This window comes from Homo sapiens, chromosome 20 (assembly GCF_000001405.40).
Source record: "Homo sapiens chromosome 20, GRCh38.p14 Primary Assembly".
NCBI lineage: Eukaryota > Metazoa > Chordata > Mammalia > Primates > Hominidae > Homo > Homo sapiens.
The window spans coordinates 8,362,171-8,386,460 of record NC_000020.11 but is presented as its reverse complement, the minus strand read 5'-3'; the positions used below and the strand labels follow the sequence as shown (position 1 = coordinate 8,386,460).

General features: G+C 39.5%; 1 protein-coding gene across 2 annotated transcripts in view; it reads right to left on the bottom strand.

The window, feature by feature from the left end:
* Positions 1-24,290, bottom strand: part of PLCB1 (phospholipase C beta 1) — a 752,635-nt gene that overhangs the window by 498,440 nt on the left and 229,905 nt on the right. For both annotated transcript variants that reach the window (NM_182734.3, NM_015192.4), the window contains exon 3: positions 15,011-15,079. In NM_182734.3, coding sequence (NP_877398.1) covers positions 15,011-15,079 — 69 coding nt within the window. The remainder of the gene's footprint in view (positions 1-15,010; positions 15,080-24,290) is intronic.

Here is a 24,290-nt window from a genome sequence, read left to right as displayed (position 1 = left end):
GTTGAGACCTAATGCTGAGAAAGGATTCCTTTCAAAATATTAATGCTCATTGACAATGCACCTGGCCACAAAAGAGCTCTGATGGTGATATACAAGGAGATTAATGTTGTTTTATACCAGCTAACGCATCCATTCTGTAGCCCATGGATCAATAAATTTGACTTTCAAATCTTATTATTCAAGAAATACTTTAGGTAGGGCTACACTGCTATAGATAGGGATTTTTCAGATGGATGTGGGCTAAGTAAATTTAAAACCTTAATTCACCATTCTAGATGCCATTAAGAACATTCAAGATTCATGGGAGAAGGTCAAAATATCAACATTAAGAGGAGTTTGGAAGAAGCTGATTCCAATCCTCATGGACGACTTTGACTTCAGTGGAGAAAGTCACTGTAGTTGTGGTAGAAATTGCTAGAGGACAATAATTATTATTAGAACCTAAAGGTGTGACTGCTTTGCTGCAATCTTATAATAAAACTTGAACGGGGAGGCAGGGCCAAGATGGCCAACTAGGAGCAGCAGCCATCAGAGAGGCTCCATCAAAAAGAATCATAATAGTGTGTGAATCCTCCACCAGCAATCAAGATATCCAGGTTCTCTCATCGGAACTGACGAGGCAGCTGGCATGATCCATGGAGAGGAAGGAAGAGCAGTGTGGTGTGGTGGTCCACCTGAGAGCCACATGGGAGAGGGGAGCCCTCACCCCCCAGCCAAGGGAGGCAGCGAGTGAGCGTGCTACCCAGCCGGGGAAACCATGCTTTTTCCACAGAACTGTGCAACCCATGGATCGGAAGATCCCACTCGTGAACCCACGCCACTGGGGCCTAGGGTCCCAACCCCAGAGCTGTGCAGATTCTCAACAGCCTCTCAGCTCGAATCTGCTTAAGCCTGCCAAGTTCCCAGGGGGAGGGGCCACCAGCACCACAGCTGTGGCTGCCTGCTGTCTAAGCCATTTGAACTCCTTGGAGGAGGGGCAGCAGCCAGCACTGGGACTTGTAACTGCCTGTCACGCTAAGCTCCCTGGGTGGGGAAGGACAGCATCCATCTCTACAGCTCCAGGCCATGCTTTTCCTCTCCTGGGGCCAGGAAGGCTGGGCAGCTTGGTCCCAAGAGGTTCCCCCACAGCCCAACACACCAGCTGTGGCAGACTGCAGCCAGAGTGCCTCTTCAGGCCTGACCCTGACTCATCCTTTCTCACTTGGTGGGGACTCCTTGCAGGAACTCCAACTCCAGCCAGAGGCTCAGGGAAAGAACCCTGATCTTCCTGGGCCTGAGCCCCAGGGAGAGGAGTGGCCGCAGTTTCTGTGGACCAGTAGACTTAGCCTTTCATCCTGGTAGTTCTGAGGAATCCAGGCAGCCCAGAAGAGTGGGTTTCTCCCCAGCGAAGCACATCCCCTCCACCAAGTGACAGTCAAAGTGCTTCATTAAATGGGTCCTGTTCCCTGTGCCACCCAGCTGGGTAAGACCCTCCAACGTGGTTGTCAGACACCCTATACAGGAGCGATCCTACTCGCATCAGGTTGGTGCCCCTTGAGGTCAGAGATGCCAGAAGAAGGAGCAGGCACCCATCTTTGCTGTCCTACAGCCTCCTTGAGTGACATCTCCTGGTGCGAGAGCAAACCAGATGAATAGGGCCTGAAGTGAACCCCCAGCAAACTGCAGCAGCCCTATAGAAGAGGGACCTGACCACTGAAAGAAAAACAAACAAACAGAAAGCAACAACAACAGTATCAACAACAAAAAATCCCCACAAATACTCCATCCAAGGGTCAGCAGCCTCAAAGATCAAAACTAGACAAACTCATAAAGACGAGAAAGAATCAACAAAAAAACACTGAAAACCCAAAATGCAGAGTGCCTCTTCTCCTCCAAAGGACCTCAATGCCTCTCCAGCAAGGGTGCAGAACTGGACAGAGGATGAGATGGACGAACTGACAGAAGTAGGCTTCAGAAGATGGATAATAAAAAACTCCACTGAGCTAAAGGAGCATGTTCTAATCCAATGCAAAGAAGCTAAGAACCTTGATAAAAGGTTAGAGGAGCTGCTAACTAGAAAACCAGTTTAGAGAGGAACATAAATGACCTGATGGAGCTGAAAAATACAGCACAAGAACTTTGTGAAGCATGCACAAGTATCAATAGCCAAATCAATCAAGCAGAAGAAAGGATATCAGAGTTTGAAGACCACCTTGCTGAAATAAGGCATGCAGACAAGATTAGAGAAAAAATAATGAAAAGGAACAAACAAAGCCTCCAAGAGATATGGGACTATGTAGAAAGACTGAACCTACGATTGAATGGAGTACGTGACAGGGACAAGGAGAATGAAAAGAAGCTGGAAAACACACTTCAGGATATCATCCAGGAGAACTTCCCCAACCTAGCAAGATAGGCCAACATGCAAATTCAGGAAATACAGAGAACACCGCTAAGATACCCCACAAGAAGATCAACCCCAAGACACATAATTTTCAGATTCTTCAAGGTCAAAATGTAGGAAAAAATGTTAAGAGCAGCCAGAGAGAAAGGCCAGGTCACCTACAAAGGGAAGCGCATCAGACCAACAGCAGACCTCTCAGTAGAAACCCTATAAGCCAGAAGAGATTGGGGGCCAATATTCAACATTCTTAAAGAAAACACTTTTCAACCCAGAATTTCATATCCAGCCAAACTAAGCTTCATAAGCGAAGGAGAAATAAAAGCCTTTCCAGACAAGCAAATGCTGAGGGATTTAGTCCAGGCTTGACTTGCAAGAGCTCCTGAAGGAAGCACTAAATATGGAAAGGAAAACCAGCCATTGCAAAAACACACCAAAATATAAAGACGAATGACACTATGAAGAAACTGCATCAACTAGTGTGCAAAATAACCAGATAGCATAATGATGACAGGATCAAATTCCCATGTAACCATACTAACCTTAAATATAAATGGGATAAATGTTACAATTAAAAGACACAGACTGGCAAATTGGATAGAGTCAAGACCCATCGGTATGCCGTATTCAGGAGACCCATCTCACATGCAAAGACACATATAGGCTCAAAATAAAGTGATGGAGGAAAATTTACCAAGCAAATGGAAGCCAAAAGAAAAAAGAAAAGCAGGGGTTGCATTCCTAGTCTCTGACAAAACAGACTTTAAACCAACAAAGACAAAAAAAGGGCATTACATAATGGTAAAGGGATCAATTCAACAAGAAGAGCTAAATATCCTAAATATATATGCACCCAATACAGGAGCATCCAGGTTCATAAAACATGTTCTTAGAGACCTACAAAGAGACGCAGAGATTCCCATACAATACTTGTTGGAGACTTTAACATCCCACTGTCAATATTAGACAGATCAATGAGACAGAAAATTTACAAGTATATTCAGGACTTGAACTCAGCTCTGGATCAACGGGACCTAACAGATATCTACAGAACTCTCCAACCCAAATCAACAGAATATACATTCTTCTCAGTATCACATGGCATTTACTCTAAAATCAACTACATAATTGGAAGTAAAACACTCCTCAGCAAATGCAAAAGTACTGAAATCATAACAGTCTGTCAGACCACAGTGCAATCAAATTAGAACTCAGGATTAAGAAACTCACTCAAGGCCAGGTGTGGTGGCTCATGCCTGTAATCCCAGCACTTTGGGAGGCCGAGGTGGGCTGGTCATGAGGTCAGGAGATCGAGACCATCCTGGCTAACATGGTGAAACCCCGTCTCTACTAAAAATACAAAAATTAGCCAGGCATGGTGGCAGGTGCCTGTAGTCACAGCTACTCAGGAGGCTGAGGCAGGAGAATGGTGTGAACCCGGGAGGTGGAGCACAAGAGTGAACTGAGATTGTGCCCCACTGTACTCCAGCCTGGGTGGCAGAGTGAGACTGTGTCTCAAAAAAAAAAAAAGACACTTTGAGAGGCCAAGATGGGTGGATTACGAGGTCAGGAGATCGAGACCATCCTGGCTAACATGGTGAAACCCCGTCTCTACTAAAAATACAAAAAAATTAGCCAGGTGTGGTGGTGGGCACCTGTAGTCCCAGCTACTCAGGAGGCTGAGGGAGGAGAATGGCGTGAACCCGGGAGGCGGAGCTTGCAGAGAGCCGAGATCACACCACTGCACTTCAGCCTGGGCGACAGAGCAAGACTCCATCTCAAAAAAAAAAAAAAAAAGAAAAAGAAACTCACTCAAAACCACACAATTACATGGAAATTGAACAACCTGCTCCTGAATGACTCCTGGGTAAATAATGAAATTAAGGCAGAAATCAAGAAGTTCTTTGAAACCAATGAGAACAAAGAGACAACGTGTATCAGAATCTCTGGGACACAGCTAGAGCAGTGTTAAGAGGGAACTTTATAGCACTAAGTACCCACATCAGAAAGCTAGAAAGATCTCAAACTGATACCCTAACATCACAATTAAAAGAGTTATAGAAGCAAGGCCAAACTAATCCAAAAGCTAGCAGAAGACAAGACATAACTAAGATCAGGGCAGACCTGAAGGAGATAGAGACATGAAAAACCCTCCAAAAAAAATCAATGAATCCAGGAGCTTCTTCTTTTTTTCCCGAAAAAATTAACAAAATAGATAGACTGCTGGCTAGACTAATAAAGAAGAAAAGAGAGAAGAATCAAATGGACACACTAAAAAATGATAAAGGGGATATCACCACTGACCCCATAGAAATACAAACTACCATCAGAGAATACTATAAACACCTCTATGCGAATAAACTAGAAAATCTAGAAGAAATGAATAAATTCCTGGACACATACAACCTCCCAAGACTAAACCAGGAAGAAGTCAAATCCATGAATAGACCAATAACAAGTTCTGAAATTGAGGCAGTAATTAATAGCCTACCAACCAAAAAAAGCACAGCATGAGATGGATTCATAGCTGAATTCTACCAGAGGTACAAAGAGGAGCTGGTACCATTCCTTCTGAAACTATTCCAAACAAATGAAAAGGGGGGACTCCTCCCTAACTCATTTCATGAAGCCAGCATCATCCTGTTACCAAAACCTGGCAGAGACACAACAACAACAAAAAAAACTTCAGGCCAATATCCCTGATGAACATCGATGCAAAAATCCTCGATAAAATACTGCAAACTAAATCCAGCAGCACATCAAAAAACTTATCCACTACGATCAAGACAGCTTCATCCCTGGTATGCAAGGCTGGTTCAACATATGCAAATCAATATATGTAATCCATCACATAAACAGAACCAAGATAAAAACCATGTGATTATCTCAATAGATGCAGAAAAGGCCTTTGATAAAATTCAACATCACTTCATGCTAAAAACTCTCAATAAACTAGGCATTGATAGAGCATATCTCAAAATAATAAGAGCTATTTATGACAAAGCCATAGCCAATATTATATTGAATGGGAAAAAACTGGAAGCATTCTCTGTGAAAACCAATACAAGACAAGGATGGCCTCTCTCACCACTCCTATTCAACCTAGTATTGGAAGTTCTGACCAGGGCAATCAGGCAAGAGAAAGAAATAAAGGGTATTCAAATAGGAAGAGAGAAGTCAACTTGTCTCTGTCTGCAGCAACATGATTCTATATTTAGAAAACCACATCATCTCAACCCCAATATTCCTTAAGCTGATAAGCAACTTTAGCCAAGTCTCAGGATACAAAACCAATGTGCAAATATCACAAGCATTCCTTTACACCAACAATAGACAAGCAGAGAGCCAAATCATGAATGAACTCCCATTCACAACTGCTACAAAGAGCATAAAATACCTAGGAATACAGCTAACGAGGGATGTGAAGGATCTTGTCAAGAACTACAAACCACTGCTCAAGGAAATAAGAGAAGACCCAAACAAATGGAAAAAGATTCCATCATCATGGATAGGAAGAATCAATATCATGAAAATGTCCGTACTGCCCAAAATAATTTATAGATTCAATACTATACCCATGAAACTACCATTGACATTCTTCACAGAATTAGAAAAAACTACTTTAAATTTCATATGGGATCAAAGAAGACCTTGTATAGCCAAGACAATCCTGAGCAAAAAGAACAAAGCTGGAGGCATCACACTAGCTGACTTCAAACTATACTACAATACTACAGTAACCGAAACAGGTGGTACTGGTACCAAAACAGACATACAGAACCAATGGAATAGAACACCACACACCTACAACCATCTGATCTTCAACAAACCTGACAAAAACAAACAATGGGGAAAGGATCTCCTATTAAATAAATGGTGCTGGGAAAACTGGCTAGCCATGTGCAGGAAACTGAAACTTGATCCCTTCCTCCTACCTTATACAAAAATTAACTCAAGATGGATTAAAGACTTAAATGTAAAACCCAAAACCATAAAAATCCCTGGAAGAAAATCTAGGCAATGCCATTCAGGACATAGGTATGTGCAAAGACTTCATGACAAATATGCCAAAAGCAATTGCAACAAAAGCCAAGCTTGACAAATGGGATCTAACTAAACTAAAGAGCTTCTGTACAGCAAAAGAAACTATCATCAGAGTGAACAGGCAACCTACAGAATGGGAGAAAATGTTTGCAATCAACCGATCTGACAAAGGTCTAATATCCAGAATTTACAAGGAACTTAAACAAATTTACAAGAAAAAAAACAAAACAAAACAAATACCACCATCAAAAAGTGGGCAAAGGATATGAACAGACACTTTCCAAAAGAAGACATTTATGCAGCCAAGAAACATATGAAAAAAAGCTCAACATCACTGATCATTAGAGAAATGCAAATCAAAACCACAGTAAGATTCCATCTCATGCCAGTCAGAATCGTGATTATTAAAAAGTGAAGAAACAATAGATGCTGGTGAGGCTGTGGAGAAATAGGAATGCTTTTATACTGTTGGTGGGAATGTAAATTGGATCAACCATTGTGGAAGACAGTATGGTGATTCCTCATGGATCTAGAACCAGAAACACCATTTGACCCAGCAATTCCATTACTGGGTATACAGCCAGAGGAATATAAGTCATTCTATTATAAAGACGCATGCACACATATGTTTATTGCAGCACTACTTACAATAGCAAAGTTAGGGAACCAACCCAAACACCCATCAATGATAGACTGGATAAAGAAAATGTGGTACATATAAACCATGGAATACTATGCAGCCATAAAAAGTAATGAGATAATGTCTTTTGCAGGGACATGGATGAAGTTGGAAGCCATTATCCTCAGCAAACTAACACAGGAACAGAAAATCAAACACTGCATGTTCTCACTCATAAGTGGGAGTTGAACAATGAGAACATGTGGACACAGGGAGGGGAATGTCACAAACCAGGGCCTGTTGGGGGGTGGGGGAGGTGAGAGGAGGGAACTTACAGGACGAGTCAATAGACATAGCAAACCACCATGGCATGCGTATACCTATGTAACAAACCTGCATGTTCTGCACATGTATCCGAGAAATTAAAGTAAAATTAAAAACATAAAACAAAATAAGAAGTAAAAATAAATAAATAAAACTTGAACAGACAAGGGGTTACTTTTATGAATGAGCAAAGAAAGTCGTTTCTTGAAATGGAATCTACTCCTGGTGAAGATACACTGAACAGTGTTGAAACGACAACAAAAGATTTAGAATATTATATAAACTTAGTTGCTAAAACAGAAGCAGGGTTTGAGAGGATGGATTCCAATTTTGAAAGTAGTTCTACTGTTCTACTGTGGGTAAAATATCAAACAGGATTTCATGTTACAGAAAAATCTTTCATGCAATGAAGAGTCAACTGATGTTGCAAACTTCACTGTTGTCTTATTTTAAGAAATTGTCACCACTACCCTAATCTTCAGCAATCACTACCCTGAATGGCCAGCAGCCTTTGATATCGAGGCAAGACCCTCTGTGACTTGCTGAAGACTCAGATGATCATTAGCATGTTTTACCAATAAAATATTTTTTATTTAATTTAATTGTAAAATTATGTCTAAAAATAACTGATTTTTAAGACATAAAGCTATTGTACATGTAATGGACTACAGTATAGTGTAATCATAACTTTTACATGCAGTGGGAAACCAAAAAATGTGTATTACTTATGTTTTTTCAATATTCACTGTATTGTGTTGTTCCGGAACCAAATCTGCAATGCTGCTGCGGTATGCCTGTACCTCATATAAGAACAGAGTCATACTATATTTGTCCTTTTATGTCTGGCTTATTTCACTCAGCATAATGTCTTCAAGGTTCCCTCAGGTTGTAGCATGTGTCAAAATTTCATTCTGTTTTAGGGCTAAACAATATTCCATTGTAAGTGTATGCGACATTTTGTATATCCACTCATCCATCGATGGACGTTGGTACACAAGTGTCTGTTCAAGTTCCTGCCTTCTATTCTTTTACGTATATACCATTCTCAGTCTCTTTTGCTGTTTCCTCCAAGTCTCCTCAAAGTCTAAATGCTGGCAATCCCATGTCTCAGATCTCAAACCTCTTTCTTTTACACCTACATTCCTTAAGAGACCTCACCCAGGATTTGAGCCTCAAATGCCCACATTTGTATCTCCAGGGCCAACATCTTCCCTGAACCCCAGACTTGTGTCTAACTGTCCTGACATTATCAGGTAAAAGTCTAGCAGGCATCTCAACATTTAAATATCCAGAACCAAATTCTGGATTTTTTTCTGTTTAAATATGCTCTTCCTTCCTTCTTATCTGAGGACATGGCAACCCAATTCTCCCAATTTTCTGGGCCAAAACACTAATAGTTGTTCTAGAATCTTTTCTTTTGCTCATACTTCACATCCAATACATTATCAAACCCTGTGTCTCTATCTTAAAACATATTCAGATTATGTCACTTTGTTCACCACCTCTCTAGCTACCACCTCAGGCAAAGTTATCATCATCACCCCAGGATATCTGCAGCAGCCATTTAGTTGGTCTGCTTGCTTCTCTCTTTTGTAGTTTACTCCCAACAGCCACCAGTGGAACTTTCAAAAGCTCAGATCCCATCACTTCTGTGCTCAGAACTTTCAGAAGCCTTCCCTCTTCCATCAGAAGAAAAGCCCAAGTCATTTTCATGGCCTAAAAGGTCTGAACTCTACAGTAGCCACATTGGCCTTCCTCTATTCCTGAAATATGCTTTGCTCTTGCTGTATCCCCGGCAAAGAGGAATGCTCTCCCTCACTAAGTTCATGTCTCTACTCATATAACTGCCTCCTATCAAGACACCTTTCCCCACTATGGCTCTGTAAAGCAGCAGACCCCTTCCCAGCACTCATTTTCTCAGGTCTCCGATCCCGCTTTATGCTTCTCAGTGGGACTTATCTGTTATCTGTTTCCCCTACCCCATGAGGTGCTGGAACCTGCTGATAGGTCTACTGGACATGGTGTGTATTGCCTTCCAACTCTTCATTCAATGACATCAGGTTGGTAGCTTGAAATTTGCCTCCATGGAAATAGTTGCCCAAAGGAAGTCAGCCAACACAGCAAATCAGGGATTTCTCTTTCTCTTTCTTTTTCTTTTTTTTTTTTGAGATGGAGTCTCGCTCTGTCGCCCAGGCTGGAGGGCAGTGGTGTGATCTTGGCTCACTGCAATCTCTGCCTCCCAGGTTCATGCCATTCTCCTGCCTCAGCCTCCTGAGTAGCTGGGACTACAGGCGCCTGCCACCATGCCCAGCTAATTTTTTGTATTTTTAGTAGAGACGGGGTTTCACTGTGTTAGCCAGGATGGTCTCGATCTCCTGACCTCGTGATCCGCCCGCCTCAGCCACCCAAAGTGCTGGGATTACAGGCGTGAGCCACTGCGCCCGGCTGATTTCTTTTCTTTTTTAAGACCCAGTTTAAAACTACCACCACTTTCTCACTCTTAAATAAAATGCTATATGACAGCATAGCTGTTTGTCTTTTTGTTCATTGCTGTTTTCCAGCACCTGTAACAGTACCTGGCAGAAAGAGTCACTCAATGACTTCTGTCATTGAATATCAATCAATCAATGAATCAATAAAGAATGAAGTAAAAAAGCTATCATGTTTATGTAGAGATTAGGAAAGAAAAGCCTAATCAATTTTTAAAATTTGATTTTACTCTAATCTACCTTATGTGATTCTGGTGATACTACATACAACCTAGAATTTAATTGCGGCCTAGATATTTACAAAGAATCTACATTAAAATTAATACTACATATCTGAAATAACTGCCCTTTACCAATAGAATAAACTAGTTGTCAGATCAGCATGACAAGCAGTTTATTTTGTGTAACTATAAAAATATTTTTCAATGACATTGCTGCGTGCATTCTTGAGAGCTGGAAGTTGGCAGCACACAGTTTTCATGTACTAAAGTTGGGAGAGCCTCTGTGACCCTGAGGTCGCTCCCTGTGGTGTCCAAAAGCAATCCTAGAATGCTTTTGAGAAGCCACACATAAAGAAGCTTGACACAAGTCTTTAATCCTTTTTGTTGGCATAGTACCTTACCTTGGCTAGAGTGTGACCTTTTTTTTTTTTTTTTTTTTTGGTTCACTTGGTTTGCATGATGAAGGAGGTAAGAAGTTTCAGGTTATGTAAACTTATTCAACATCAGTTTTACAATCTGTAAGGTGGAAAGTCATGGGTGTTTAACTTCTCAATTTAAAAGCTGGAATCAAGGGCTAACGGAACTTACATACCTAAAACCATGTATCCCATGCCCCATTTCATAGATGAGGAAGTAGAGATGCCAGCAGACAGCACAACTTCCTTACGCCTGTTAATGGCAAAGCTGGCACTTGAACCCACATCTCCACTTTCCCCACTTTTCCATACCCCTAAGCACTCAATACATGCTGAGAATCATGAGGCTGAAGAAATGATCTTGTTCAGCATCCTTTTTAAAACTTCTCCGATATGTATTGCCCACAGTAAAAATTACACTTTATGCTGTGACTCAGAACATACAGTCACATACATGAAAAAAGTTTCAAAAAACAACTTTTTCTGTACAAGACAAGATTATTTTCCACTCTTATCAAGTTTATTTTATTTTATGAAAGCTGCACATGAGCCACTGAATGGATCTGATGGGTCAGGAACTACTAATAGATCAGAGGCCGCAGTGATAAACACTTTTTTTAAAAGCAAAGATCTTTTTGAAGTGACGACCCAGAAAGTACATGTACATAGCACAGACAAGATATATATACCACAGCATCTTGCCCTTACGTGTGCTCTACAAACCTGGGAGGGCCGGAAGGAGGGAGAGAGAGAGCAAGAAAAAAAGTAAGCACCTTTTAGATTTCAAAGGATACAGTGTTTTTCTTTTGGTTATTACATTTGGATAAAGATCTCCCAAGTTCTCTCTAATGTGAAATTTTAAAACTGGCAACTTGAACAAAGGTTATATACAGAAAAGAAGATCTGGAATTTCATGTATTGTGTTGGGGGTTGACATTTAAATTCATAAACAGGGTAACACATGGAAGCTTTTCCATTTCCTGTAAATGTTATTTCAAATCACAGCAGGCACAAAAAACAGTTCATTTTCAACCAGATCTTGAATTTTTATGTAATGAGATGCTGTAAAAAACAAAAATAATATGAATATAGAGATAAATATTTGTGGGGTGCCTGGGTATTTTGATAAATATCTGCTTCACAAATGTTCTTCCTTCCTTTATGGTCTATAAGCCCCCGCAGAAAGTCTTGCACTCAATCTGTCCTTTTGTTACATTGCCTTTCTGTCCCCAGTTTCCAAGCTTTCTTCACTTTATCCTGGTATCTTTATACTTTTAATCTACTCTAAGTCCTGTTGCTGCTTTTGTTCTAACCAACTCAATGGTCTAGTTTTCCTCTTGCAGGCCCTACACCTTCTTCTACAAGGTAGTTATACTGTAATCCTGATACAATTCTCTGATAGGCAGCTAGTCTCTCTTTTGGGCCACCCCATATGACACTGTTAGGTGGGGAGGCCAGGAGCTGCCAAGGGTGGTGTGCAGAGGGTAGCATCCAAGGGGAACCTGAAGATGGAAAAGGACCCGGTAATAGTCCGTTCTCACACTGCTATAAAGAACTTCCCAAGATGGTAGTTTACAAAACAAAGAGGTTTAACTGACTCACAGTTTTGCATGGCTGGGGAGGCCTCAGGAAACTTACAATCATGCTGGAAGACGACGGGGAGGCAGGCATCTTCTTCACAAGGAAGCAGGAGAGAGTGAACTCAGGAGGAACTACCAAACACTTATAAAACCATCAGATCTCGTGAGAACTCACTCACTTTCACGAGAACAGCATGGGAACTGCCCCCATGATTCAATTACCTCCACCTGGTCTCTCCCTCGACACATGGGGATGATGGGAATTACAATTCAAGATGAGATTTTGGGTGGGGACACAGCCAAGCCATATCAGAACCCCTACCAGAACCTTGCATGGCATACTGATGAAAAAAAGAGGCACCTAGTCCTTGGTGACATTAACTGAGCAGTGGAATGAAACTTCACCTGAACCTGGCAATTCCGCTGAAATTTTCAATACATTCCAGTCATTTTCAATAAATTATATTTTTATTTGTCCAATTTGAGCTGAGGTTTTCTCTGGAAATTTGAAGATTTTAAACTGATAGTAATAGCAACTTCTTTCTTGCCTGTCAATCCACAACCCCCTTTGAGATAAGCCCCTCCTCTGATCCCTTTTGCTGACATAAACATTTCCAAATTAAGTGAGTGAAATGAAAAGTGGCTTTCTACAATTCTGACTTGAATTTTTTAGTGATAACAAAAGCAACAATGTTACTACCAACAATATTGGCTAATATTTAGTAAGTACTTATTGTACACCAAGAGTAAGTTAAGGCAGTGGTGCTCAAATTTTGCTGCAAATTTGTTTTTCAAATCCATCATGCCCACACCACACCTGTATCAATTTGATTCTTATGGTACCAGCATTTCTGGAGGCGGAAAACACACATCAGCATTTTTGAAAGTTTCCCAGGTAATTCCATGAGCAATTAAATTTGAGAACTCCTGTGCTAAAGGTTTCCTAATGAATTATTTCATTTAATCCTTATAGCAACCATTTCAAGTACTTATTATTATCATTATCTTCACCATTTAGCCAACAAGGAAGAAGCTGGAGTCTCAGGAAAGCCACACAGGTAATGTTTAATAGAACCAGGCTTTGAAAATATTAGAGGAGAGTGAGGTTCTTGAACATCAGCAATAAATAGGAGGGAAAAAAAGGAAGCCAGGAGCATAGATAATTCAAAGAGGAAGTAATCAGTCCCTCCAAGAAAGAGCTGATGGAGAAAAGCTGACAAAGTCAGAGTATTCTAAGTGTTAAAAATCCATCCTCACGAGAAGCATTTGAGGATCTAACAGTGGTTTATCAGCTGAGCACAGTACAGGCCCTACTGCTGTTCATTTGTCACTGTTCAGTAGACATTTATCAAACCACATCCATAAACGAAACACTTAACTGATAAGCAAGCTGTGTACCGCAATAAAAGAGACAGATTCAAGCCTGAAAGAAACCCTCCATGTGGCAGCAGAATTCACTTTGACTCCCAATGCCTGGGGACAAACAGGGCTCTGATGCAGTGTCGGCAACTGTCTTTAAAACTAATATCGATATTGAAATTGCAAGTTAGGCCAATAAACTTAGGTTCAAAGATAAATTTCATAGCTGCATTATCAATATAGTTCTTGGAACTAACAGGCTTATATGAAATTTGGCTGAAATGTTGTTGGGGGAAGAAGAAAAAATATTCTTTCCTATACTAAAAACTGTGAGCAATTTTGAATCATCAACAAAGCATTAATTATAGTAAGTCTGATACAAAACTGAGAGGCTAAACTATTGAAATTCCATGTTACTAAGGAGATAAATGTAAATAACAGATTAGTTTCATATGAAACACTTATAGAAGCCTTCTTGAATACAGTTCTAATTTTTCTTTCAAAAATCTTTGTTTTTTACATTTTACCATAGATCATTTTAACCCTTTCAGCAAATAAAATAAAAATTAAAAAATTAAAAAACCCAGCAGCCGTGTGTTTGCTGTGTCATAGAATATGCTGGCACCTACTGCCTTTTTACGCCTCTGAAGAATAATTATTCCAGGTGATTTTTTTTTCTTGCATCTCCAAAGCAACAGATCATTTTAATGTCAGAGAAAGAATTTTGACTTTTAAAAGATAAAACAAAAGTTGTGGGAAGACACTCAAATAGAAAATAGCTAGTTTTATATCAAGTATGGAAAGACGCATTGAGCTCCTAAATGGCAACTGTACTTCTATGTTTGCCAATACCCTCTCTGCCAGAAATGAAGTATGTAAAGTACTAAATTTTAAATAAAATGAAGAATAGCTTTTAACTTTGATGGCAAGACAACATATCCTGCTACTATATCCTACCAGATCATCTAAGCTTAAAAAATTATGTTCTTCATCCAATATTTAAAAATTATCTTCAAAAAATAAACAGACTGCAAACACTTCTTTGAATATTTCTTCAGTAAGTTTTTCAAACCAAAACAAATGACACTGCACACAATTCATCCCAAAGTATGCTGATCTTTACTAGTAACATTTGCAGAATTAAGACTATACACCTTTTGGCATTGTGGATGGAATCATTTCAATTGCAGAGCATTTCAGCTATATGGGAGTTCTATTCATCATGTCTAACGGTTAGTTCCCATATGTTTACGAGGTTCAAAGATTTTTTCAAATAATTTCAAGTACTTTTTAATCATTTAGAATTACCCAGTAACTTGGGCATTGTTGTCGTTGTCTTTTTTTTTCAAACAAAGGCAAAATTAGAGGACATAAAGCAAGCCCCTCTGTCCAAGAGCCCACATATTTGTTCATTGTTTCCGTCTTTTAATAAAAGTGAAAGTGTTTAGGGCATACTGGCTATTGTGTTTTACAACATCTATAACATAGAAACTTTTAATTGGGGCAATTAATTGATATTGTGACACAGCCAAACAATCAAGGCAGCATCTGGTGCATGCACAACACTCAACCTCCTACCTTGGGAGCTTTGGCGTGTCTCCCACATCTGGCATCTTTGACAAGGCTGAGATCCAGTAGCTCTGTCTCCTGGAAGGCAAAAACGTGAAATCGTTAAGCAACGACACAGACCTTTCCTCTTTGTTTTATGTCATTGACATCACTTAAAAAAATTATCTTGAGACTTGACTGAAGACTTCTCTGCAGTTGGGATATTTCTTTCCTCTTATATCACTTCTCAATTGAATTAGGTTGGAAACAAAAGACAGCTAACTGCTAACTGCTCAGTTATACATTTTGAAAGCAAAAAGTGTGTGGTTATGTCCCCAGTCTATCCTACAAGCCATTCCTAAATCATGATGAATCAGGTCTTCTTGTTCTTACTTTTGAATATAATCCTGGGAGTCACTGAGCGTAGGTGAGGGTATGAGGGTATGTCGGTAGAGAGAAAGATTAGGGAGGAGGACGGAGTGGGATGCTCCCATCGGCTCACATACATACCCAGCTTATCTGGCCAAGGCAGAGATACGAATCTGCCTCTGACAGCCCCCAGCCTTTTGCACACATACCTCATGCCCTGATCTTTTCACTTAATCATTACCCATCATTGAACACCTGTAATACACAAGTTACTCTAGGGAATAAGGCATAGAAGATATGATTGCTTTCCTGGATGGACCTGTCATCAAATAGGAGTGTAAAGAAATGTATATGTGTAAGACAAGGGGGAATGTGTTAATGCCAATTTTAAAGTTGACTACTATGGTTGGGGGGCAGCAAAGAAAACACAGTTTTTTTCCTAGGGGCTCAGAGAAAAGTTTATGAGAAATCATTAAGCTTGGAAAAAAAGAAGTTGGGGAGGGGTTCCTCCCAGTTGGAGGGGAAAATATGAGCAAATGCCTAGATGAGAAAGGGCCAGAGGTTTTGGCTGAACCTTGAGGTGTTCGTGGCCTTTAGACACTTAGAGACAGAGAACATTGCGGGGAAAGGAGGTAGGGAGAAGGATAGAGAAGCATCCAGGAGGGAAGAACTGCAAAGGTGCAGGTACAGTGGTATTGTAGAAGGATGGAAGCGGATTCACGTGGGAGGACATTCAATATTCCATTGGCTAGGCCACAGAACATGTGACAAGAAGTCATGAGAGATGACATCAGAAAGGAATATGGCCAAAGAATGGAAACCCTAAATGTCTGGCTAAGGAGACTGAGCCATGAGGTTTGTGACACACACAGGTTGCTGCATTAGACAGTGGACTCTACCACCAGCCAGGTAGGACTGTGGTGCAGTGAGCAGTTGTCTTAAAGTGACTCCAGATGTCCTAACTATGATTCCTGGGCAATGAGCAAGTTGGATGGAGCATCGAATCCCCTTCTCCCGGAAGGAGGCACTGCATCCTAATTCAGCTGCCAATAGAACCTCTGGATAGGAGTGGCTGTAACTTCTTAAAGGCCAAGCTCCCTAAGAACCAGCACCTTTTGCTCTTAGTCAACTTCTTCAAACAGCTGCTGCCAGTTCCAAATGTCTGGTGCAAACTGGTCTGATTATTTTTCTGCACCTAAGATTGCCTTGTAGTAAAGGCCAAATTAAAGGTGAAGTCTCACTCCTCGAATGCAAACCCACACAGAAGGTCCAACAGAACTCCTGACACACCTCTCTGTGAGATGAAGGGTGGACAGGAAACAGTGGGTCTCTGCTCTTGCTCACTCTGACCTTGTAAGTTTCATTTTCCCCATTTTAGAGGGTTCCTTAGCCCATTTCATGCTGTGTCTGACCCTGTGGAAATTCTCCCAAACCCCTGGGGTGTGACAGGTGGCAACCCAGCAAGGAATTTGCAATACAGAGTGACTGGTGCCACAGTTCCCCGAAGGCCACACCATCCACAATATTGGAGGTTACCTTATGAGTGTTAGAAAACAATGGTCTCAACCATGTTCAATGCTTCACTTCAGAAAATGCACATTATAGAACCCTCTGTGAAGAAACGGTGGAAAAACCAGACATGAGTAAGTCAAGCATATGTCCAGGTTTCTTCATCTCTACAGCAATGACAACCAAAATATTTGCTGGAAGAGGAGAAACAGTAAGGGAATCAAGCTTGAAGAAGTTTAATCTAGAAGATGGGAAATAAGTGGAGATCTGAGAGGTGAAAGATGAGAGACAAAATGAAGGTAAGTAATTGGAAGAAAGAGGAGAGAGATGGCAATGGAGGAACTGACTGAAGGAAAGAGGGAAGTCATAAAACACGCTGCAGTTTCCACCTTTCCTACACTGAGACTCAGAAGTTTGGGCAAAATGATAGTGCATTCTGGAGATGTTGGTTTGAGGGGTTTATCCAAGTGAAAATGCCAGTAATTAATTCACTGGAGCATTATTTATTGAATGCCTACAATGTATCAGGTATACACTAGTACTGAGAAACTAAAACATACAAAGATAAGATCCCAGTTTCGATGAGTTCACAAGCAAGTCAAATATTATATGCTAAAGGAAATATTTCAAAGTGCCCTACAGACATTGGCTACAGAGAGCTATGGCATGATTTCAGCCAGTACACAAGGATGAGACAGAGTTTGCCAGCCTTATAACTGTGTGATCGGGGTGGGAGGGTGGGTGGTGGTTTCAGAGAGAGGAAATTGCGGGTAGAAACTCACAGAAGCAGGAATTGTGTGCAGAAAACTACAACCCACTTAGGATATGTCACAGAGGTATATGGAGCATTAGCAACAATCACTTTGGGATTTAGTGGTCATTACATGGGTGTTCTCTTTATAATTATTTATAAAACACTAACATTTACATTTGATGTAATTTTCCATATATGTTGCATGATGTTTTACATCTATATAGGATAAAAATATATCTCTCACACACAGTATTTTTACCTAATCAATAGTAATATTTTCTTTTATTTTTTCTTTTTCTTTTTTTTTTTTTTTTTTTTTTGAGAGACAGAGTCTCACTCCATCACCCAGGCTAAAGTGCAGTGGTGCAATCTCAACTCACTGCAACTTCTACCTCCCGGGTTCAAGTGATTCTCGTGCCTCAGCCCTCGAGTAGCTGAAATTACAGGCACACACCACAATGCTCTGCTAATTTTTGTATTTTTAGTACATACGGCATTTTGCTATGTTGGCCAGGCTGGTCTCAAACTCCAGACCTCAAGTGATCCACTCGCCTCGGGCTCCCAAAGTGCTGGGATTGCAGGCATGAGCCACCGTGCCCGGCCCGTAATATTTTCTATTTAAGGAAATTCCTCCCAATTGAAGAAACAATAGACTTAAACATAACTTGTTTGATTATATACGCAAAGCCCAAATTGAATTAACAAAGAACTAGATCTTAGCAGGCATCATTATATAGACTTTTGCATTACAGATAATGAACTCTGTATTCCACTTCCAGGATTCATTCCCCAAGCCACGGAAGGGTAGTTAACGCCAACTGTGTGCATGAAAACCACCGCAGGGCACTGTCATCAAGGGTAATGTGGCGTGGGGAAGACCTGGGTGGAAATGCCGTCCATGAACTCATTTGGCTACAAAGCGATGATTCAAATAGTGTCTCCCACTTCTATTAACATACCACAGCCACCCCTCTGGAGTTTAACTGCATCCCTTTCTCTCTGCCACTAAAAAGAAAATGAGGAACCCAATGCATGACCACAAAAGTGTTTCTTGTATCATTAAAACTTTTTCTAGGTTAATTTTCTCGTGACAATAGTTTTAACAACTCATTACAATAAAGCAGTGAAATGGTCCCTTTCTGCCCTTCCTCAGTTTAAGAGTTTCTGTTTTCCAGCTTTGTGGAATTCATTATTTCTTTACTCCTTTCTTTGAGAGAGAGACTACAGAGTGTATATTGCAGAAAACTTGGGTTTGAGTGAGGACCTTAAAATTAATTATTCATGTATTTAGTCAATAACTTTACCACACTGAGCATCAATTTTTTCATCTATTAAATGGGTATGATCATACCTTCCGTATCAGTGGCTCTCCAACTGTAGCCTGCATTACAGTCACCTGAAAAGCTTAGTAAAATACAGATTTGCTCCGTGTCACCTGTCAGACTTTCTGATTCCGTGAGTCTGAGGCAGGCCTGAGAATCTGCATCTCAAATAAACCTCCAGGTGATGCTGACGTTGCTGGTCCAATGACCACACTTTGAGAAGCACTAATTATATACTCACTCATGTTGTTATAAGGCCTTTCATGTGAATATCATTGATAAAGCAATACATTACTTTTGTTAATATGAAGAATCTATAACTATCATTTCTTTATATTGGGAACTTTCAAATAAAAATATTACACTTACTGAATGTAAAAGTGTGCCTAGTGGTGAGAGTTAGCTGAAGAAAAAACTATTGAATGACAAATGCCATCGACTGCTATTTTAATAATTTCTCTTTAGGATTAAATCATATTCTATCCAAGCAAATGTCCTAGGTGTTCAGAAACTCAAGCAACAATTGAAATCGTTTTGTTTGTCACAGATGTTCTCCCATAGAACCTTTGCATTATACTTCATAACATTAGATACATCTTTAGAAAAGTGGAATAAAGAAATTAAAATTTGTTCTCTCTAACCTTGAAGTCCATCCAACAATGAGAAAGGAATTGAAGTGCCTAAAGTCACATAACCTACCGGAATCATTAAAGGAGGCATGTACTAAAAGAACCTACCGGAATCATTAAACGAGGCATGTACTAAAAGAACCCTTTATTTCCAAGGCCATTAATGACACCCTGCAAAGCTTGGAGATCACACTCTTAGGACCTCAGATGCATCCACTGATGCATTGATGGATATGCCCTCTCTTTTTGTCAGTATGGATAAAAATGAATTAACAGCATGGATAAAAGTGAATTAACAGTAATATTACAATAATATTGTAACTGTCTATTGACATGGGGTTTCACCACTTGGTGTGAATCCCTCGACAAAAGACCTTGGACTTTTATCTCTGTTTGTACAGTGTTTAACATAAAGTTCAGCACACAGGCTGTATTTCATCCTGGTTTGTGAATGAACGACACCCTGCTGAAGATGTTAATTATCAAACTCAGGAAGAAATACAATTTAAAACTCAGCTCTTTCCAGAATCCCAATTTCTGTGCATTGTTAGTGTGGTAAAGTTATTGACTGAATACATGAATAATTAATTTTAGGGTCTTCACTCAAACCCAAGTTTTCCACATATATACCCTGTGATCTCTCTTTCAAAGAAAGTCGTAAAGAAATAATGAATTCCACAAAGCTGGAAAACAGAAACTCTTAAACTCTTAAACAAACTGAGGTATTGGGTATTTAACAAAATACTCAAAACCCATTATTACTAATTAATGGGTTTTGGGTATTTAACAAAAATATTTTGAATGAGTGACGAGAAAGCAGGCAAGCTAAGAGAAGACTGAATTGTCTTGGTTGTTTACTATTTAGCAGAGAGATTTCAATCCATCAGCCATAAGCATACTGTGTGGTAGATGAGACATGAAATCCACTTCAAACTGAGGAGGAAATACAGTTTAAAACTCAACTCTTTCCAGAATCCCAATTTCTGTGCATTGTTATTGAATTCCATTAGTCACCCAATATAATAATGTGTTTCAGGTTCACACAGTATATAATCAGAACAGCAATTACAGTCATAAACATTTCACAGAGAAGATATTAATGGCTGGGTGTGTGCATTGTGATTATGTATATCTCCACATACATGTGTGGTATAGTCATTAAGTTGGTCTATTTTGATTTACCAAAAGTAGAATACATTAATATATTTTACTGACTGCCAAACCTCCTTAAAATGCACAATTTTTTTAAAAAAATGATTTTAGAGTATTTTAACAAATAGTTTTCATTTAACAAGAAGCAGATGGACTTAGACTCAATTCTTTGTTCCTTAACTTTATTCCACTTCTGAGGGGGTGAAAAATCTGTGCAATGTACCTCTCAAAGAAATCTCTGCACCGTCTGCCACCTGGTCTCTCTTTTCCTTTGTTTCCTAGGCATGATTTTCATCTTTATTTCCACAACTTTCAGTGGAGACCCACAGTAAGAAACACCAATGGAAATGAGAGGTATAGGTCATCAATAAGAACCAAGGCAGAGAAAAGAGAAAGATGACACATCTGGCTTTCTTTATTTAAACACACTTAGATTTAATATAGTGCAAATTTCATAGAAGTAGGAGGCAGAAAATGTAAGTTCTTCCCTCAAATTATCACTTGTTATCAATGTAGCATTAAACAAGTTGCTACAGATGCTCATGCATGCCTTGTATCCTCATCTGTCAAACACAGGTGCAGATGCCAGCAACATCTCCCTCGTTCGGCTGCTGCTAAACCAACTGAAATATTAAATTAAGATCTCCACTTAGCAAGCAGCGAGTACTGAATATATAGAAATTCTTATGCTTGCAAGATTTCCCATTCTAAGTGAAAGGGGAAAGATCCTAGCAGAAAAGTTAAAAGTTGTTAGGTAAAGCATCTAGAAGAAACACAAGGAATGTAAATAAACAAAGAAAAAGAAAAAGATCTGAAAACCTGGAACTCTATAGCTACTTCATAAAAACTTAAAACCTAAGTAATAGAGAAAACTTCTAGAGAAACTAATTTTCACTTTTATGTGTTATAGGTAAATGAAAAATAGGATCAACCTTTGAAATGGGACAAGCAATGAAAACGTTCATGTGTTACAGGTTGTATTGTAACTGTCAATTGACATGGGGTTTCACCACTTGGTGTGAATCCCTCGACAAAAAGACCTTGGACTTTTATCCTGATTTGTATAGTGTTTGACATAAAGTTCAGCACAGAGGCTGTATTTCATCCTGGTTTATGAATGAATGACACCCTGCTGAAGATGTTAGGTATTTCAGACTTTGGACCTAACAGGAACACAGTACATAAAATACAAGTCAGACTCATCTTTACCCAGAAAACCAACAAGATGCCTTATTTTTGCAAGCAACCTAGGGACACTGAAAGTTCATTAATACAGCAGTTGGAATTACCTTCCATGCTCTCATGCTCTCATAAATATCATAGCATAAATTGGGGAAAAAGTGGGTGATCCAATGCCTGCGGATATTATCGGTTCCATTCTCCAGTCTGAATGTTATCCCTGGACCTACTTCCAAAGTATTTGGCCCAATGTTATTGGCAAGTATATGAATGCGGCAGATAATGTGGAAGATAACTTTTCATTTTTAATTTATTTCCTTGCTTCCTTCATTGTCCCATTGCCTGTCCTAGGGAGATAAGGAATCCACCAAGGTCTGGAGTTCATGCATTCTTCCGGGAGCCAAGGTCAGTATACAGGAAGATACCGAACCAAAAAAACCCAGACAATCTCTCTTAATGCACTTTTTAATCTAAAGAGTCTGCTCGGTACAAATAAAATAAAAACTGAGAAATTATTATTGATGAGATTAAAGGTTCCCACACTAAAGGTGGCAAAGTCAAATAATATCCTTAATAATAACAGCAATAATAATCGTATGTATTTATAATGGAGAACCAGCATACCAAGAATTGTAAAACAAAATTTGCATGTATTATCTCATTAGTCTTTGCAATAATACTGTCACCTAATTATCATATTTCTCTGTTTTGCAGATGAGAAAACTAACAGAGATAGTTATGACTACTATTGACTACTGTTGGTCAACTGCACAATTTCCTCACAAATCTCTGCATTTTTGCCTACCTTTGGTGGGCAGAACTCTAAGATGGCCACACTCATGTGGGTCTCCTGGTTTCCATGCCTTTGTGTAATCCCCTCCCTCTGAGTGTGAGAGGGACCTGCAGCTGTCTTCTAACCAATACAATATGGCAAAGGTGCTGGGCTATCACTCCCACCATTATGTTATGTAATACAGCAAGAGTGAGTGAATTTTGAGGTGTAATTAAGGTTCCCAATCAGACAACATAAAGTTAGCCAAAAGAGAGATATCTTGGGTAGGCCATTCAAAAGAGGGTTTAGAAGCAAGAGACTTGAAGCAGCAGAGACACTAATCTGCTGGCTGTGCTGTGTACTGACTATGGAGAAGAAGACCTCCAGGAGATAAGAGCATCAGTTCTACCACCACAAGGAACTGAATTCTGGCAACAACCTAAATGAGCTTGGAAGAGGAATTTGAGCTCCAGATGAGAACACAGCCCAGGAGACATCTTGATTTCAGCCTTAGGATACCCTAAGCAGGTGAGACCCTGACCCACTGAAACTGTGAGATAATAAATGTTTGTTGTTTTAAGCCATTAAGTTGTGGTAGTCTGTTATGAAGCAATAGATAACTAATACACTAACCCCATTGTTTCCAAGTTCTAATGCAACTAATTAAAAAGGAATGAAAATGAATTTACGTATCTTGGCACTCCACCCACCCTGCATAAAAATGACTGCAATGCTGTCACCATTATTGAATGTGCCCAAACAGAAACAATTACTATAATAGAATCATAGTAACTGGGAACAGAAAGAGAACACAGATGAGGAAACTAAGTCCCAGAGAAAATATGTTAATTGCCCAGGATCATTGACCCTATGTACATAATAGAAAAAGTAATCCACATATCCCCAAACTTACTTTTTTCTAAAAATTTTGGATATTGATAAGGTAGCAGGAGTATTGTGTAACATAAATGAAAGAAAACCACTTAAGTCTTTTTTCACGTATATGAAAAAATAATCATGATAAATAAATATAACACTAGTTTTCAGAGGCTGTGTCTGCACAAGGCAATGTGAACTATATCAGCAGATATGCAGTTAATTTATTCCTTGCAGATTGCCAGGTGAGATAGTTTGGTGGCTGGTTGTGCAATAGCCAAATATTCTCATTCTTACTTCCTTCTTCAGCAACCTTAGAAACTCCTACACGCTCATCTAAGAGTAAAACACTTCCAAAGTTGAAAGTTAAATGCAGCTAAACATAAAATTATATGTATAGCACCACGGCTTTATTAAGAGGTAAAATGAATAAAACTTAATTGTAACAGTATTTATGGTATAGTTGCATGCATCTATGACTCTGAGGGAAGAAACTGCCACACTTGCTTCTGGATTCTAGGAAACATTATATTAAGAGATATATTTTTGTAATTTCTTTCAAATGATGAATGAAAAACAGGTCAGATTTAACATGCTAGTAACTGCCTTCATTTTAACGAGATGTCAACTTATTAGGTTGACATTAAAAACCTGAGAAAAAGTTCCATAATCACCATGGATAATCTATATATATTTAAAGATGAATAATTTCAGAAATATATTGGCTCTTTATAGCACGTGTTTTATT